The 20739-nt window shown below is 35.4% G+C and overlaps 1 annotated feature.

Moving 5' to 3' along the window:
• Positions 11047–11341: a silencer, noted in NCBI's record as "tiled region #7615; HepG2 Repressive non-DNase unmatched - State 13:Ctcf, and K562 Repressive non-DNase unmatched - State 13:Ctcf". NCBI's record gives its function as "represses a minimal TATA promoter and a strong SV40 promoter by Sharpr-MPRA in HepG2 and K562 cells {active_cell/tissue: HepG2 | K562}" and the evidence as "EXISTENCE:reporter gene assay evidence [ECO:0000049][PMID:27701403]".

The raw sequence follows: 20739 nt of genomic DNA on the forward strand, positions 1-20739 counted from the left end.
AACCACACAACTACACAGAAACTGAACAACCTGCTCCTGAATGATTACTGGGTAAATAACGAAATGAAGGAAGAAATAAAGACGTTTTTTGAAACCAATGAGAACAAAGACACAATGCAGCAGAATCTCTGGGATACATTTAAAGCAGTGTGTAGAGGGAAATTTATAGCACTAAATGCCCACAAGAGAAAGCAGAAAAGATCTAAAATCAACACCCTAACATCAACATTAAAAGAACTAGAGAAGAAAGAGCAAACAAACTCAAAAGCTAGCAGAAAACAAGAGATAACTAAGATCAGAGCAGAACTGAAGGAGATAGAGATACGAAAAACCCTTCAAAAAATCAATGAATCCAGGACCTATTTTTTTGAAAAGATCCACAAAATAGATAGACCACTAGCCAGATTAGTAAAGAAGAAAAGACGGAAGAATCAAATAGACGCGATAAAAAATGATAAAGGGGATATCACCACTGATCACACAGAAATACAAACTACCATCAGAGAATACTATAAACACCTCAATGCAAATAAACTAGAAAATCTAGAAGAAATGGATACATTCCTGGACACATACACAGTCCCAAGTCTAAACCAGGAAGAAGTCGAATCCCTGAATAGGCCCATAACAAAATCTGAAATTGAGGCAGTAATTAATAGCCTACCAACCAAAAAAAGTCCAGGACCAGACGGATTCACAGCCAAATTCTACCAGAGGTACAAAGAGGAGCTGGTACCATTCCTTCTCAAATTATTCTAAATAATAGAAAAAGAGGGAATCCTCCCAAACTCAATTTGTGAGGTCAGCATCATCCTGATACCAAAATCTTGCAGAGACACAACATAAAAAGAAAATTTCAGGCCAATATCCCTGATGAACATCAATGCAAAAATCCTCAATAAAATACTGGCAAACCGAATCGAGCAGCGCATCAAAAAGCCTATCCACCACAATCAACTCAGCTTCATCCCTGGGATGCAAGGCTGGTTTAACATACACAAATCAATAAACGTAATCCATCACATAAACAGAACCAGCAACAAAAACCACGTGATTATCTCAATAGATTCAGAAAAGGCCTTCGACAAAATTGAACACCCCTTCATGCTAAAAACTCTCAATAAACTAGGTATCAATGGAATGTATCTCAAAATAATAAGAGCTATTTATGACAAACCCGCAGCCAATATCACACTGAGTGGGCACAAACTAGAAGCATTCTCTTTAAAAACTGGCACAAGACAAGGATCCCTCTTTCACCACTCCTATTGAACATAGTATTGGAAGTTCTGGCCAGGGCAATCAGGCAAGAGAAAGAAATAAAGCGTATTTAAATAGGAAAAGAGGAAGTCAAATTGTCTCTGTTTGCAGATGACATGATTGTATATGTAGAAAACCCCATCGTGTCAACCCCAAACCTCCTTAAGCTGTCAAGCAACTTCAGCAAAGTCTCAGGATACAAAATCAATGTGCAAAAATCACAAGCATTCCTATACACCATAACAGACAAACAGAGAGCCAAATCATGAGTAAACTTCCATTCACAATTGCTACTAAGAGAATAAAATAACTAGGAATACAACTTACAAGGGATGTGAAGGACCTCTTCAAGGAGAACTACAAACCACTGCTCAAGGAAATAAGAGAGGTCACAAACAAATGGAAAAACATTTCATGCTCTTGGATAGGAAGAATCAGTATCGTGAAAATGGCCATACTGCCCAAAGTAATTTATTGATTCAATGGTATCCCCATCAAGCTCCCATTGACTTTCTTCACAGAATTGGAAAAAACTACTTTAAACTTCATATGGAACCAGAAAACAGCCCGCATAGCCAAGACTATCCTAAGCAAAAAGAACAAAGCTGGAGGCATTGCGCTACCTGACTTCAAACTATATTACAAGGCTACAGTAACCAAAATAGCATGGTACTGGTACCAACACAGATATACAGACCAATGGAACAGAACAGAGGCCTCAGAAGTAACACCACACATCTACAACCATCTGATCTTTGACAAACCTCATACAAACAAGCAATAGGGAAAGGATTCTCTGTTTAATAAATGGTGTTGGAAAAACTGGCTAGCCATATGCAGAAAATTGAAACTGGACTGTTCCTTACACCTTATACAAAAATTAACTGAAGTTGGATTAAAGACTTAAACGAAAGACCTAAAACCATAAAAATCCTAGAAGAAAACCTAGGCAATACCATTCAGCACATAAGCATGAGCAAAGACTTCATGTCCAAAACACCAAAAGCAATGGGAACAAAAGCCAAAATTGACAAATGGGATCTAATTAAACGAAAGAGCTTCTGTGCAGCAAAAGAAACTATCATCGGAGTGAACATGCAACCTACAGAATGGGAGAAAATTTTTGCACTCTATCTATCTGACAAAGGGCTAATATCCAGAATCTACAAAGAACTTAAAACAAATTTACAAGAAAAAACAACCCCATCAAAAAGTGGGCAAAGGATATTAACATACACTTCTCAAAAGAAGACATTTATGCAGCCAAGAAACATATGCAAAAAGACTCATCATCACTGGTCATTAGAGAAATGCAAATCAAAACCACAATGAAATACCATCTCATGCCAGTTAGAATGGTGATCATTAAAAAGTCAGGAAACAACAGATGCTGGAGAGGATGTGGAGAAATAGGAACACTTTTACACTGTTGGTGGGAAGGTAAATTAGTTCAACCATTGTGGAAGACAGTGTGGCAATTCCTCAAGGATCTAGAACTAGAAATACCATTTGACCCAGCAATCCCATTATTGGGTATATACCCAAAGGATTATGAATCATTCTACTATAAAGACACATGCACATGTATGTTTATCATGGCACTATTCACAATAGCAAATACTTGGATCCAACCCAAATGTCCATCAATGATAGACTGGATAAAGAAAATGTGGCACATATACACTATGGAATACTATGCAGCCATAAAAAGGATGAGTTCATGTCCTTTGCAGGGACATGGATGAAGCTGGAAACTATCATTCTCAGCAAACCAAAACAAGAATACAAAACCAAACACCGCATGTTCTCACTCATAAGTGGGAGTTGAACAATGAGAACACATGGACACAGGGACGGGAACATCACACACCAGGGCCTATTGAGGGGTGAAGGGCTAGGGGAGGGATAGCATTAGGAGAAATACCTAATGTATTTGACAGGTTGATGGGTGCAGCAAACCACCATAGCATGTGTATACCTATGTAACAAAACTGCACGTTCTGCACATGTACCCCAGAACTTAAAATGTAATAAAAAAAAGAAAGATTCCAAGCATACATTTACCTATACAAAATCAGACAAAAAACACTGATACATAGGTGGTAGGCAAGTAGATAAATAAGAATAGTTTTATAATTAAGTTTCATGCTATACATGCCTTTTAAATGTACTTCATTAATTATATTTGAATTCAATAGAATAAAATAAGCTTAAGGAACTGCTGAATTGTAAGTAAATATTTAATAACAGGATCATACAATTTATCATGAATTAAAGCTGTACTTTGCATTTTTTAGTGCATATGTCTTCTTTAGACAGTAAGAATATTTTCCCTGCTATAAAAATACTTTCTCATACCTTCTCATTTTTCTTAGTCATAAAATTATTTTATTTTGTCAGAGCATATAGTACTTTTTACAGTAGGAAAACAGGAATGAATTAACACAAAATTTGAATGAAACTTAAAACAAAGCCTTGCATAAAATGTATCACATTATTTCAGGAGTATGATTCTGGGAATCAGATATTATATGTTACCTTGCAATTTTTTCCAAGTTACAATTTATATACTATCAGATACACCCATTTTAAGAGCACTCACAGTTTGATTAATTTTGACAAATGTGTATACACATGTAATCACCACCATATTTAAGATGTAGAATATTTTTATCACCCCAAAAGTTTCCCTTCTTCCCCTTCCCAGCCAATCACCCTTTTCCTCACCCATACTTCCACTGATCTGCTGTGATTGTAGATTAGATTAGTTTTCTAGAGTTTCCAATAATCGTAACCATACATTATATACTCTTTTATCTGCATTCTTTTTGGAACCTATCCATGTTGTGTATATCAGTAGTTTGTTTCTTTTTACTTCTGAGTAATAGTTCATTGTATGAATGTACCACATTGTGTTTATTCACTTGATGGACATTTTGGCTGTTTGTAGTTTTTGTCTTTCATAAAAAAAAATCTGTGAACAATCTTGTACATATTGTTTTGTGGAAATATGTTTTTATTTTTCTTGGGTAAATACCTAGAAGTGTCATTGCTGTATTACATGATAAGCATATGTTTAATTTTATAAGCTGCCAAACCATTTACCAAAATGATTGTAACAATTTACATTCCCGTCAATTATTTATGACAATTCCACTTGTTCCACATTCTCCTCAACACTTAGCATTGTCAGCTTTTAAAATTTTTAGCCATTCTACTAGTGGTGTATTTGTATCTCACTGTGGTTTTGATTTGCATTTTCCTGATGACTAATAATCTTAGCATCTTTTGATGTGTGTATTGACCATTTGTGTATCTTCTTTTGTGGAATGTTTGTCAAAACCTTCCGCCTGTCTTTTAACTGAGTGGATGTCTTCTAACATTGAGTCATAAGAGTTCTTATAAATTGTGAGACTTATACATATCTGATATATATTTAGATATCAGTTTTTGTCAGATGTATGTATTATGAATATTTTCTCCCAGCCTGTGGCATTTCTTTAAAAAGCAGGAGGTTTTAGTTTTATGCAGTCCAATGTTTCATGCTTTTTGTTTCCTATGTAAAGAAATCCTTACCAACTCCAGGGTCACAAAGATTTTCTCCTGCGCTTTCTTCTCTAAGTTTTATAGTTTTAGCTTTTATGCTTAGGTCTATGGTCCTTTTCAAGTTAATGTTTTGGTATGGTGTGGGATCAAGATTTCTTTTTTTTTTTAATCTTACATGAATATTCAGTTGTTGCAGTACCATTTGTTAAAAAGATTATCCTCTTCTCATTGAATTGGCTTGGAACTTTTGTCAAAATCAGTTGACCACATGCATATATTTCTATTTCTGAACTCTTCTGTTGCATTGATCTGTATATTTATCCTTATTCCATTACCACACTGTCTTAATTACTGTAGTTTACATTAAGTCTTGAAAACAAGTAGTGTGAGTTCTCCTGATTTATTCTTTTTCAAAATGGTTTTGGCTATTGTAGGTCCTTTACATTTTGATTTATTACTATTTCTCACAGGTTTTTTTTTTGTAGATTTCTCCAAATTTGGTACTTACATTGTATCACCATCTGTGAATGAAAGCAGTTTTATATCTTTCTCTCCAATATGTATAACTTGTGTTTATTTTTCTTATCTTATTGCATTGACTTTGACATCCAGTACAATGTTAAATAAACATGATGGTTGTAAACATTTTTGCTTTGTTTACAATCTTTGGGGGAAAGCATTCATTTATTCACAAGTAAATGTGATGTCAACTTCAGGGTATTTATAGATTGTTTTGATCAAATTCCTTCTATTCTATAAAAACTGAGACTTTTTACCATAAATTTGACTATGTCAAATGTATTTTCTACACCTATTAAGATGTTCTATTTTTATTTTTTTAATGTTATTTTGTTGAATTGCATTGATTGATTTGAAATATTAAACAAACTTTGCATATCTGGGATAAATTCCACTTGTTCAAGATACATAATACTTTGTACATATTATTTGATGCAATTTGTTACTATTATAGTATTAAGGATTTATTTTGTCTATGTAGATGATGGATATTAAATTAACCCGTAGTTTCTTTTTCCTATAACATTTTCATCTTTTTTCTTTAAATCAGGGTAATGCTAGCTTCAGAAAGTGAGTTGGGATGGGTATCTCATTCTTAATCCTCTAAGTGATTTTGTGTAATTTTCACTTCATATACTTCATTTTTCTTCTCTTGCAGTTCCACTCAGTTTCATTTTTTAAATCTTCCATTTTTCTCCTCATTACATTCATGTTTTTATTTAAATTCTTAAGCATATTAAACACATTTTTAAAGTGATTTTTATCTTTCTTGCTACTAATTCCACCTTATTATTTCTGTATCTGTTTCTATGGAATTATTTTTTTATTTGGGTACATTTTCTTCTATTTTTGCATATCTATCAATTTTTGATTGAATGTTAAACATTGTAAACATTTTATTGTTAAGTGCTGGATTTTGTTGTATTTCTTTAAAGGAAATTAATTTTGTTCCGGCAAGAAATTCAACTACTTGTGATTCAGTTTGATCTTTTCTAGGCTTGTTTTAAAACTTTTTTTGCGTTTTGAGGGTGTGTTTAAAGTCACTGTTCCTGTAGTACCAGTTTAGCTCCGGATAGGCTTCTTGTGGCGTCTCTAGTAAATTTCATATGCATTTAACTATATCATTCTGCCCTGGCTGGAAGGAACTTGAATAATTCTGGCTCTGAATAAGCTATGGATATTATTTGGCTTCTACTTCCTGGTAATTTTTCTTTTTCTACATGTTGTTATTTGTACAGTCTTGTTAAATTTTATGCTATTCATGGACAGATTATTATTCAGTCAAAGACTCAAAGGGACTCCCATTCAATTACCCAGAGCCCTTTTTTCTAAATAGTCATCCTCTCTGCAATATTCTACCTTGCAAAATCTAGTTGCCTGGGCCACCCTAAACTCTAATCTCTGTTTCCTCAACTCAGGGAAAACCCCTCATACTTCGATCAGCTTCCCTATATCTGCACTCATGGGCCATAAATTGTCTATAGGCTAAAATTGGAAGCTATTGTAGGATTCACCTATTTTCCTTCTGTCAGGGATCACAACCCTTTACTGAATTTGTCCAGTGTCCAAACACTTTTATTTTATGTATATTTGGCCAGCTTTCTAATTGTTCCCGGTTAGAGAGTACATCCATGTTCTTTTACTCCCTCTTGACTGTAAGCAAAACCTACAGTATTAAATAATAATCAGAATCTGTCATTGATGTTTCTCCATACATATTTGGGGGGGATGCTGTGTACCATTTTAATCTGATGATTTTGATTTACAGATTTTATTATTTCAAGGATTTTTTTCTGGATTCTATTTCTAAACAATTTTTGGGGGCATTCTATTTGTTGGGTTCACTATTTTTGGGACATCAAATATCCTCAATGTGAGATTTTCTTTCTCTGATTTCTATGTCTATTTTTTACCCCATTTGTTTTACTCTTTTTTCTATTAATTTATGATTATTGGATTAAACCTTCCAACTGTTTTTATTTAAGTATTGCTTTATATATCCTGTTCAGGTAATTTCTAGTTTATAGACAATGTTATTTTGACTTGTTTTTATTTCCTTAAGTTTGCAATTTCTATTTTTCTTTCAATTCTGTTACTTTGTTTTCCATTTAGACTTTAAGCTCTTGATTTACTGATTTCATATTTACTAAGTAGATCTATAAAGCTCAGAACTTGCAGGCAATTTGTTTCTATATTCTATGTTATGTTATTATCCGACTGGGTTATTTGACAGTTCTTGCTTACTTTCTGGATTATTTGCTTCCTGGGAATGAATTCTGTTTGATATCTCTCTCAATTTATTTGAGAATTGTTTTTCTTTTCTGATTGGAGGTCTAGATATTTCTTTCCACTCACTTTTCTGAAGGCAGTTTATACCTTGGGTCTTGACCTAAATGTTAGTTACTTAGAGAGGCTTTCTCTTATTCTCTTATCTAAATTAGGATTCCACTGTTATTCTCCATCTCTGAACCCTGGTCTTTTCCTTTATAGCATTTATTACAATGTGTGATTTTGATCACAATTTGAGAAAGAAAATTCCTTTTATCTTTGAGGTAATTTTTGCTCACACCCCAAAAGGTTTACCAGTGCCATCAAGGGTTGTTTTTTTTTTAGTTTTTAGCATTAGAAATTTCATCATAGTAACTTGCTATCTGGTGAATAAAAAAAATTACTGTGAAACTTTCAGAGAATTTTAAAGAAAAATAACTAGTTTATAAACAGCACAGATAATATAGCTTGCTTGGGGCATGAATAAATGTCTAAATGTCATTGGAAGATATTGATTTTCACAGCTAGTTTGTTTGATCCTTTCTATTAAAGTCCTTACCCAGTGCTAAATGATCAATACCACTTAAGAGTGTTCTCAGAACATCACAAAAAAAGATGATTAAAAGGACAAAAATGTATGGATAAAACAAAAATCTGATGCTCTTTTTGGTCCTGTCTGAAAATGATATTTTACTCTATGCCCCAAATCTACCCCATGCACATTCTGAAAATTTCTGACTTCATCTTTTCAGACTTTTTATTCTCTCTCTCTCTCTCATATATAGATAGCTATATAACTACTTTTTATTTTGTGCACTGTCATTGGCACAACTTAACTGTGGCCAGACAAAACATGTGAGGAATTTACATGCTTGAAACCAAAACATTATTATATTTTTGTGATATATCTAGAGCCAACTGAAAGGAATTAGAAAAAAACACCACAAAATTTAGTTGGGCAGAAAAGTGGTTAAATCCAACGTGGGTGTTTCAAAATACCATTTGTCCCAATTAACTCACTATAAAAGAGCCCAGCATATTCTATTCCAAAGTAGAATCATTTTGGAAGCAAATAATATATTTTGTTTAACAATGGTGCATTCCTTTTAGAGTATAAAAGCCTCTGGGATGCCAAAATGGTTTATTTGAAACTTTTGTTGCTGGTATTTAGAAAGTAAATCCTAAAGATTTTGTTAAAATTTTTGGCAAGTCAAATGGTTTCTAACTGTTTGTTTTCAACAAAACTGAAAAAGATTCAAATCAAGATATCTTGTACATCGTTAAAAATTATTTTTAAAGCTAGATTAGCAGGTGCTTTCTGGCATTTAACTCAGAAGTAGTTCAAAGAATTGTGATATTGCAATGACAAAACTTCTTCCATTCCCATTCTCATTTTTTATGTGAATGAAGTTTCTTAACTCTTACATCCATTAAAACAACAACTACCAGATAGTGTGAGAATTGCTGCTGAGCATTTTTTTTATTTTAGTAGTATGTAAGAATTGTCCATGGATGATGGAACTGATTAAAAAATATCCATCTTGTTAAGAGATGCATTTCTAGTAAAAATTGACTGTCTATATAATTAATATAAATGTAATATGTTTATGTTTAATCAATTCTATTATAAATATTTGTAATGATAATTCATTTTAGAAGAAAATTTTATAAAGTATTATAGATATGAGAAATGAAAATATATATTCATCTATTTTTTCAAGAAGAATAAAATGAATGAGTAAAAAACTCTCAACAATAAAATGTAATGCATTATGATGAAATTCAAGGGAAATAGAAGTATGTAAAATTTTTGACAGTTAAAGAAAAGCCTGCTCCTTTATTTCTGAAATGGATGATATCATTATCAAGTTGCTATGGTATTTAGATTCCAAAGGCTGTATTTAAAAGAGCAAGACATTGAGAGGCCAAGGCAAGCAGATCACTTGAGGTCAGGAGCTCAAGACCAGCTTGGCCAACATGGTGAAACCTCATCTCTACTAGAAATACAAAAATTAACTGGATGTGGTGGCATGCTCCTGTAATCCCAGCTACTTGGGAGGCTGAGGCAGGAGAACCACTTGAACCTGGGAAGCAGAGATTGCAGTGAGCTTAGATCATGCCACTGCACTCCAGCCTGGGCAACAGACTAAAGTGCAGACTCCATCTGGAAAAAGAGAAAAAGAGCAATGCAATAGCTTAAAATGTCAATAGTTATAATATATTGGAAAGTTTATATTTTCTATTTTATAACTATTTAAATTTATGAGAAACATTTAGGTGTCACCTAAAAAAAGTTAGTGAGCAAAATTGTTTGAAGATCACTGTACTAAGCTATGCAGACTTGTAATAATCTCAGTTAGTTTAACTTTTGTAATCTGAAAAAGTAGACATAATTATATCAAATTTACAGAGTACTGTGAGAGTTAAATGAAATAATAAATGCAAACATCCTAGCAATAAAAAAGGTCTCAATGAATGTTAAGTTTATTTTCAAGTGAAGACTCCAAGTTGAACTGACCTTTCTAAGAAAGATGGTGTGAGGCCTGCCCCAGCTCCAATGAGAGAGGTTATAGAAGCCATACCTTGGGTTAGCAGCCCTGGGTAAGGTGTAGGGACAGGCCAAAAATTCCAGAGAAATGAAGAGACATATCTGGGTACTACTTAATTGGGGCAGGACCAGAACAGGAAACCAAACAATTTCCCACTTCTCCACATACAAAACATTTCCTATGTGTCTGGTGCAGTGTGTCAAAGCCATTTCAATCATATAATTTAATCCCATGAACAAACTAAAACAAAGGTTTTCCAATGAGATTTTCTCTGACCCACTACATTCAAATTGCAAGTTCATCCCCATTTCCTGCTTAATTTTTCCATTATACACAACATCTGGCATTTCATATATTTTATTTTTTATTTGTCTGTTCCCCACTAGAATGTAGTAAGGTAGAAATCATGAGTTTTGTTTACCATACTATATTCACCACCTGCAATAGTGTTGGGCATGTAGTAGGTGTTTACTGAATTCAATGTATCAATAAATATTTAAAAACTTAAAGGAAAAATATTTTAGGGGACAATGTTTATGAACCAAGTGAAAACTTGTGGGATGAATGCAAGAACAAAAATGTGGACAAATAAGTGTTGAAGGGGCCTGTCTGAAGGGTACTAATTAATAAATCATTTTCATTCTGGAAAAATCTTTCCAGTGCTTTCAAAACTCTGCTTTGTGTTTTGTTCAGGCAGAGTTAATTAGTGCTCCATGAATAAAGGTTCCATAGTAAAATAAGCTTGAGAAATCTTTTTGGAAATTCATGACATTAAAAGACTGAAAGAAAAAACATAAATGAAAATATAATCTTAAATTTTGTTTAAGGGAAAGTGAATTTATTTGTGCAGAATACATTTTTCTTCACTTACTTTTAAACGTTTTCCATTGAATATTAGCTTATGAATTTCTGCTTTTTAGGCATACCTCAGTTCTATGTTCTTAGTGACATCTTGCTGAAAACAGTGCTCTGAATACGTGACATGAGGCTAGAGAAAGTCATAACTGAAGGGACAGACTAAGTGAATGGCGGCTTGGAGCACCAACCTATAAAGAGGCTAAGACATCTCTAGGCTATTGGAAATATGCCACCAGTTCTGTTTTCCACTACTAGATGGAAAATGGTGAAATGCACATGGTTCTTACTTCTGCTGAAGGAGATAGTGCCCTCTAGTGGAAATTAAAACAAAAAGACCCTCCTTGCTGGCGTCAATTGCTAGAGCTGTGCTCCTCACTAACCACTACACGTGGCTATTTAAAATTTTAATTTCCTATGTTTTAAATTAAAATTTCTGTTTCTCAGCTAAGTTGTATTAGCCACACTTCCAGAGCTCAACAGCCACATGTGGCTAGCGGTTACTGTACTGGATAGCACAGAAATAGAACATTCTCACCTTTGGACAAAGTTTGTACGGGGTGTACCACTAACCCCAAGCTAAGCAGCTGACATGCCTTAAGTCTGTTGTCATAGTCAACTAAAATTCCCAAACCATTAAAATGCCTGGTATTGTGCTTTTTACTAGGAATGAGTGATTCACTTTGTTGTTGAATTTTTCATTTCTTAAAAATACCTCTCAAGAAGTAATTTCAGAAAAAAACCACAATTTCAAATATTTTAACTTTAAATAAACAAAAATGCTACATTAAACATAGCTTTTATAGCATAAAAAGGCATACTATTTTTTATTTATGGAAAATTAGTTTTATTGTATCCCTACTAAATAATATTGAACAATTTTACAAAGAATTTTGGCTTAAAGCAGTGTCATATTTTTAGCTTATTTGTATTCTCTATCCTACACTTTTCTAGGTGGGCTCTATCTTCCTCAACTTCAGTAAGGAATAATGAGAGTTACTAAAGTTTCAGGCTTGCGTTATTTCTGGAAATCCAAAATACTCACGAAAACTATTTGGAAGGCAAGTTTTGTCATAAACAATCCATGGCATTTATCCTGCATGAAAGCTGGGTAGTAGCACAAGAAAACCAATAAAGATTCACAAACATTTGGCTTACTTATTCTGGTCATGTCCATATGTGTAAAAGAGGCAACTGGCAGGCATCATGCCCAAGAAATTCTCATCAATTAAAATCCACTTTGGGAGGCTGAGGTGGGCAGATTATGAGGTCAGGAGTTCGAGACCAGCCTGGCCAACATGGTGAAACACTCCTTCTACTAAAAAGACAAAATGAAGCCAGGCATGGTGGCACACGCCTGTAATCCCAGCTACTCGGGAGGCTGAGGCAGGAGAATTGCTTGAATCTGGTTGGCAGAGGTTGCAGTGAGCCAAAATCGCACCACTGCACTCCAGCCTGGGTGGCAGAGCAAGACTCTGTCTCAAAAAAAAAAAAATTATCTTTTGTTTATTGCTGTAACCATTCTCTTAAAAGCCTCAGTCAGTATCCTCTGCACACACTTCCTTCAAAATCTATCTCATATATAACATTCTAAGTGCTAGAAAAATATTAAAAGTGTCTCTTTCTTTTTCTTATGTCATTGACTTGAATTGTCTTGCTGGCTGAGACATATTTTTGATGCTTATTAAGTTAAATTACCTCTTTCTACGGAGTCAATTCATTCTATCATAAAACACAGCATGCAAAATATTACTGACAATGTATGACCTCATAATTATGTATTTTACATAGAATCTTTTACAAAATGCTTTTCTCTATATATTCATTAGCTTGACAATTTGTTGTTATTTTAATGTAATGTATTTCCTCTTGTCAGCACATTGGGAACTGGGGTTTCTTGATCAGGCCTTGGGAAAAGTGCATTTGAATAGAAGCTTGAGAGATTAGTTGTCACTAACAAATTAAACATAAGACAAATAAGTGTAGCATCTTGCAATATGTACCCAAAAGCTAACTATACATATATATGGAAAGCCTGGGGGAGACATGGCTCAGTAGATACATTTGTGAAAAATATTTGGTGGTTTTAGTGATTCTTGGTTTTGAGATATGTTGGCAAAATGACAGTGTAGTGGATACTAATTGGGACAACTGTTTGACTATCCCTTCTCCTCTCTGAGAACAACAATAACACACAGGGTTAGGTCTCCATTGATCATGTCTGATCTAAATGACCTGCAGCGAACTTGCCCCGGTGGCGTGAAAAAGACTGGCCAGCCAACCTCTGTTCCCAAGATTTGTCACTCAGAACTAAGGAGAGAGAGTTTGTTAATGACATGTGAGATACGGCACCTGTCAGTCCTATATTTCCCAGCATGAGTGTCCTGGAAGGATTTATGCCTTTCAAGTTCTAGTCAAGTAACTGTCAGGTCAGTTTGCCCATTCTGTGCAGTAAAATAAGATGTAGCCATTTATGCCTAGTGATCCATTATTGGAACGCTAAGCTAGTGGGAGTCATTTATATCCTGCTGCTCAAGTTCATCACCAAGGTCTGATTTTTCACCAAAATATGGCAACTTCCAGCATAAATGGGTTAAAATCTCAGTTATTGTCCTCTGTACAAACTTCTTCCAAAATTCTTTTCTTTACTCTTTATCCTTCAAAATCTCCTATATTTTCAGTGACTTTTTTTTTTTTGCCTAAGCTCATTTGAGTTGGCTTTCTATCACTTGCAACCAAAGTTGAGAATACATATTGTTGTCAAAGGAACTAATGTAATCTTAGTTTACAATACTGTAAGTAGTTAAGACAAGATGAGTGATACCCATATTTTATTTTAAACTGTTGCAATATAGTGATTCTGGATGTCAAATTTGATGGTGAAGAGATTCAAAGTTACATCATATAAAAAAGGAGTTTGAAAGAATTAGGAATTTAACTTAGAAAAGAGACTCCATTTGAATGATAGCCTGCTATGTGGCTATTAGATTTGTTTTATACTGATTTAAAGGAACTTGAAAATTATCTGAAGTCCAACATGCTTTCAATGCCTAAATCTCTTCTATTTACTGCCTAGTAGATAGCTGACTTATTCTTGATAAATCCAGTGATTTAAAAATAATTCCGCTAAGAGCTATTGAGTACCCACTGTGTGCTAACTACTGTACTAGAATGTGTTTTGGCAATGAGGAGAGATATTGTCTCTGACCTTGTGGCAACTATGGGTTCGCTAAGGAATTAACTACCACTTGACACATCTCATCTTTAGATAATTCAGAAAATTCTTCCTGGGACCAGTGGAAAAACATTATAGAAATACATGATCTATTTGAATAGTTTGAAAATGGCTAAATCTAAATGAGACCAGATATTTAGACAGAATTGGATAACATCCAGTCTTAGATTACATGAAAATAAGGGCACCTTTTGTACAAGTGGTTTCCAATATTGGGACTGCAGACCACAAGGAATCCAAGGAGTTACTTAAAAAGGTTTAGGAATCCACATGTGCTTTAGTAATAATTTTGGATTAATAAGTAATATTGCTACCACTATTATGTAAGTGACCTTTGAAATTTTCATCCACTCATGCATTCATCATTCAATATGTAGAAGATCTATCAGGTTCTAGATATCGTTCTAAAAGCTGGAGGAAAAATCCAGAACAAAAACATTCGGAAAGACTGGGAGTCACCACTTTGTGCTCCTTGCAATACTCAGCATATTTACTTTATGCTTTTATCAGAATGTCAGATGGCAAATCTATGATTCTGTTGGCTTTTGGGGAGTGGGCAGACTGGGCTTTTCATATGCAAAGTTGATAAACAAGTTGTTAGGATATAAATAGTACTCTGTAAGCCATATGATCCAGGATGACTCAAAAGTTTTAGGACTTTTATTTTGACCTATGGTAGTGGATAAAATATAACTTGACCAAAACTACATTATTTTTCTATGTTCACACAAAAAGAGTTTCTTCTTTTCTTATGGCAGTTAATTTAATATGAAACAGGCCTGTTCAAAAATAATGAGATGTCTGTTTCCATGGTAGCTTTACAAGAACTGTCCACAAAGCAGAAGATTTCAAAAGCTCCAGTAACCTGTCCTCAGAATTGTGTGGTTGTTAATAATCTTGGGAGACCCTGCAGTCCTAGGGCATATGGTATCAGAAGTGAGAAAAGAAAACAATCAAGCTCTGTTCTTTGCCCCTTTCTTTGCACAGGGCTAAAAGGTGAGGGCAAGACTACAGAGACCCATTAGTCAAGATACATCTTAAAAAGAATTAGTTAAAACCAGTGAATTGTGCACTATCCCAGTGCTATCTGTTGTGGGACACATTTTTATTGCCTGTATTACAAAGAATAATACATAAGTGTTCACAAGAGCAGTGCCTTCTTCCAATATTACTGATAAAATCAATACTATCTATGCATAGTCATGTTAAAATACAGAAAATCTTCTAGGTTATAAGCAGATAAAAAGGGACTCTACAGTATTAATATACTTAAAAGAAAGATATGTCAAAAGAATGGAGTGTTGGCATGAAATATGGTAAACATGGTGTCAAAGAGGAATATTTTGGCAGCATTTATACAGTGTTGTCTAGAAAATGAAGAGAAACCAAATTGTTACTTATATCTCTGCTGTAGGACAGAGATTTTTTTAAAAATCAGGTTTTATTATGGCTTGAATGAAATCTCTCTGTGGTTTATACATTTCTGTGCTTGCCAAGTAATTATTAAAAATTCTTAAATTGCTTGTTGATTAACTAGCTGCCAGGAAGCAGACACAGTATACTATTCATTGTGGAGGTATACATTCCATTGTATATTAACATGTTTTCATGGAAGATCTGATCAGTGAATTTGGGTATAGAGTATGACTGATAGCCTAAATTAGTAAATTTGACTGTCTAGCTTATGTATGTATCATTTATTGAGAATCTGAGATCCACCAGCTCATGTTCATGGATAAAATGAAGACTAGAAAAGGAGACTATAACATTGGACAATGATGTCATCTCATGAGACTCTGTCTAAGCAATTAGTTATTTACCCTAGGTGAATTATTTTCCACCTACCTTCTGGTCCTCTGACCTATAAATCAGTCAGACATTGGAAATGTGGAAGATTAGTCTCATTTGTTAGGTGCTTTACAAAGAACAAACAAACAAACAAAAAAACTGGAAAAAGATCTCTCTGTCCAGATATATGGTTTTATTTCCACCTCACCTATGAACATCCAATTCCCAAATTGATATCTATATAGGCATAGATGATTTAATATAGTACACACTTTATTTGAAAAAATTGCATTTATACATTATAGATGCCAATTAAAAATTCCCAGATTTCAAACACTTAAGTTGAATGATTCTTATGAATTTTTTTGTTGTTAATATTTTAAGTGGTTTGATAAGGAGAATTAGGAACAATGAGGACAAATGTTTTGAAGATCTTTTTCAGGCTTAACTCAGGTACAAATCTGGTTTAAGTTGTATTGATCATCACAGATTAGCTATAAACTAAACTCTGGCTATGACTAAATATGTTGGATTGAATGACTTATAAGTACCTTTTAATTTTTAAAAGTTGATAAACAGGATGAGGAGTGTAACTGCCCAATAGGTTCACCTTGCTTGCTGCCTAGACAGAGCCGATTTATCAAGAAAGGGTAATTGCAATAGAGAAAGACTTACTCACACAGAGCCAGCTGTGCAGGATACAGAAGTTTTATTATTAATCAAATCAGTCTCCTGAAAAACTCGGGGACTAAAGTTTTTAAGGATAATTTGGTGGGTAGGGGCTCACGAAGTGGGGAGTGCTGATCGGTCAAGTTGGAGTGAGTTTTTCTTGCTGTCTTCTATTCCTGGGTAGGGTTGCAGAACTGTTTGAGCCAGATTACAGGTCTGGGCAGTGTCAGCTGTGCATCAGAATGCAGGGTCTGCAAAATATCACAAACACTGATCTGAGGTTTTACAATAGTGATGTTATTGCCAGGAGCAATTTGGTAGGCTTAGAATCTTGCAGCCTCCAGCTGCAAAAGTCCTAAACCATAATTTCTAATGTTGTGGCTAATTTGTTAGTCCTGGAAAGGCAGTCTAGTTCCCAGGCAGGAAGCGGTTTGTTTCGGGAAAGGGCTGTTAATCATCTTTGTTTCAAAGCTAATTTATAATCTAAATTCCTCCCAAAGTTAGTCTGGCATATTCCTAGGACAGCCTGGAGGTTAAAGCAAGATGGAGTTGGTTAGGTCAGATCTCTTTCACTGTAATAATTTTCTCAGTTATGATTTTTGCGAAGGTGGTTTCAATCCCTCCCTTTGGATTTATAACACCTTATTCTTCAAGTGTGGGCTACGAAGTTGGGAAAAATGAAAACTGCTCTAACCTTTTCCTGCTGACAGGGGGATAGATGTTGACCCCAAGGTAAGAGGAGTGGAACTGCTTTGCAGCTGTTTGCACATACTCTTGGGTGCCTCATTAAGGTTTCAAAGCTTGCATGACAAGGGCGTTAGTATTCTCATCTATAGTTTTAGCAAAGAACAGTGAACTATAAGGTAAATAATGAGTCCCAGGATAAAGACTGAAAGCCTTAGCTTCAGAAGTTTTGGAGAATTGATCTTAAACTCTGGGGGATCCAGGTGAATAGCTTGGAGAACAAATTCGACATGGGGTTACTAACAGAGAGAGATTTGGGTCAGAGGTTGTTAGACAGATTGGGGTAGACAGGACAGAGCGAATTTAAATGTACTGCCCCAAATCTTTTTTTGTCAGTTGCCTAGTCCTGAGACTAGATCAGTTCAGCTCAACAGCTATCTTATGTATCAGGAGGTTCATTGCAAATGGGCTAAGCCTCTTAAGTTATAGAGGAGGAAGGTGGTGGCAATCTGACACGTTTTTATTGCCTGTATTACAAAGAATAAGCTTCAGTTTTCAGGGCCTCAGGTAAAAGGTAGTAGCCATTTCATTGAGTCCAAGTCAGAAAAGTGAAACAAAAATCTGAGAGTGTTAGTTTGGGGACTTGCAGCCCACAAAGAATTCAGGATTTAGTTCAAACTATAGAAAATAATAAAAATTCAAGAACAACTAACAACAGATATACTATAGTTTTTTGAAACACATTTTTTCTCTCTCCAGTCCCCACTTTTATTAAACACAAATCATAGTAGGACAAGTTTGCTTGCAAAATAAATCTTAGTTTTATTATGCTTGGCCTGATTATTTGCATAAAGTGCATTAGGAATAATTATTTTCCATACAAATTGTAGAATTAATCTTAAACTTTTTAAAATTGGCTTTGCTGAAAGTTTGTTCCATAAGGAATATCAGGTTACACTCTTTTTTTTTTTTTTTTTTGAGATGGAGTCTCACTCTGTTGCCCAAGCTGGAGTGCAGTGGCAGGATCTCAGCTCACTGCAAGCTCCGCCTCCTGGGTTCACGCCATTCTCCTGCCTCAGCCTCCCAAGTAGCTGGGACTACAAGCACTCGCCATCACACCCGGCTAATTCAGATTACACTCTTTAAAGCCTTGAGCCTAGTTGCAAATTTGTGACATCGAATACCTAGTTTAGTTGGGTAAATTCTTCTTGTCTTGAGGTCTCAGGATAACGTGGGGGCTCCTGGGTCTGTAAGAAAGTGACATTCTTTACCTACCTTGGGCCATGAACCCTGTACAGGTATGAGGCCAGTTAGCCCAATGGGCTTTTTTTTTTTTTTTTTTTTGATGGGTCTTGCTCTGTCACCCAGGTTGGAGTGGAGTGGTGCAATCTTAGGTCACTGCAACCTCCGCCTTCTGGGTTAAAGGGATTCCCCTGCCTCAGCCTCCCAAGTAGCTGGGACTACAGGTGCCCGCCACCACATCCAGCTAATGTTTTTGTATTTTAATAGAGATGGGGTTTCACTGTGTTGGCCAGGATGGTCTCAATCTCCTGATCTCGTGGTCCACCCACCTTGACCTCCCAAAGTGCTGGGATTACAGGCATGAGCCACCATGCCTGGCACCCAATGGGGTTTTATTGGCTCTACAAGTCAAGTTTGATTCCTAAGAAAAAAAAAAAAGCACACCATTCCAGTCAAATCTTTGGTAAAATAACTGGCATCTCCAATTGTGTTCTGTTACAAAAGAAAACAGATTCTTATTACACTTATGAAAATAACTATACTGCCATAAGTTGAGTATACTCACAAATAGTTTCTAAATTCTGGAGAAATCAGGTAAGAGAGAAAATGATATGCTCTGAGCTTTGTTTACAAGAGTATACTTTACTCAATCGCTAAAAGTTGTAAATAGCTCAAAAGGAAAAAAGTTCTCTTAATTCTGAAAAATAAAAGGATTAGCAATGTTTAACATATCAGCTCTCCATGAGAGTCTTAGAAGTTTTTTTTCTCTATTCCAATAGCACAATTTCTAAAGTTATCAGAGACCTGTATTCAAGAGTACCCATCAGAGTTTTCTATCAGATTATAAACCACCTTTTGAAAAGAATCAAAACAAGACAACAATTATCTGTGGGTGACAAAATTCTCAGGACGACCATAGTTAAAAATGCAATTAAAAAAGAAATCTGGTCATCTCTGTGACACACAACAATTTAACATAAGAATTGTAATTGGGGGAGGGGCTATCAAAATCTGATGGAGCCATTAGGGGGAGAGGTGGCAGTGGTATCCACGAATCACCATTCTCAGTCTTTTCTGCCTGTGGGCTCTGGAGACTCAGGACAGTCTGGAAGACAGTCTGGAAGAGGGAGATCCCCCCAAGCACAGCACACCTGCTCTGCCAAGGGGCAGCCAGACTACCTATTTAAGCAGGTCCCTGATCCCATTTCCCCTGACTGGGTGAGAACTCCCAACAGGGGTCTCCAGACACCTCATACAAAAGCCTCTAGTTGGCATCAGGTCAGTGCCCCTCTGGGACAGAGTTCCCAGAAGAAGGAGCAGGCAACCATCTTTGCTGTGTTGCAGCCTCCACTGGTGATACCACCAGGTACAGGAGGGACTCAAGTGAATAAAGTCTGGAGTGGAACCCCAGGAAACCACAGCAGCCCTATAGAAGAGAGGCCTAACTGCTAAAAGAAAAATAAACAGAAAGCAGCAACAACAACAACATCAATGTAAAAGGCCCCACAAACTCACCAGCCAAAGCTCAGAAACTTTAAAGATTGAAGGTAGATAAACCCACAAAGTTGAGGAAGAATCAATGCAAAAACATGAAAACTCAAAAAGCCAGAGTGCTTCTTCTCCTCCAAATTATGTCAACACTTCTTCAGCAAGGGCACAGATCTGGGCTGAGGCTGAGATGGATGAATTGACAGAAGTAGGCTTCAGAAGTGGGCAAAAATGAACTTTGCTGAGCTAAAGAAGTATGTTCTAACTAATTTCAAAGAAGCTAAGAACCAAGATAAAACATTACAGGAGTTGTTCACCAGAATAACCAGTTTAGAGAGAAACATAAATGACCTGATGGAGCTGGAAAACACAAGATGAGAACTTCACAATACAAACACAAGTATCAATAGCTGAATAGACCAAGCAAAAGAAAGAATATCAGAACTTGAAGATTATCCTGCTGAAATAAGGCAGGCAGACAAGATTAGAGAAAAAAGAAAGAGAAGGAGGAGCAAAACCTCTGAGAAATATGAGATTATGTAAAAAGATCGAACTTATGACTGATTGAGTTACCTGAAAGACATGGGGTGAACATAACCAAGTTGGAAAACACACTTCCATATGACAGGAGGATAT

Source organism: Homo sapiens, chromosome 11 (assembly GCF_000001405.40).
Source record: "Homo sapiens chromosome 11, GRCh38.p14 Primary Assembly".
Lineage (NCBI taxonomy): Eukaryota > Metazoa > Chordata > Mammalia > Primates > Hominidae > Homo > Homo sapiens.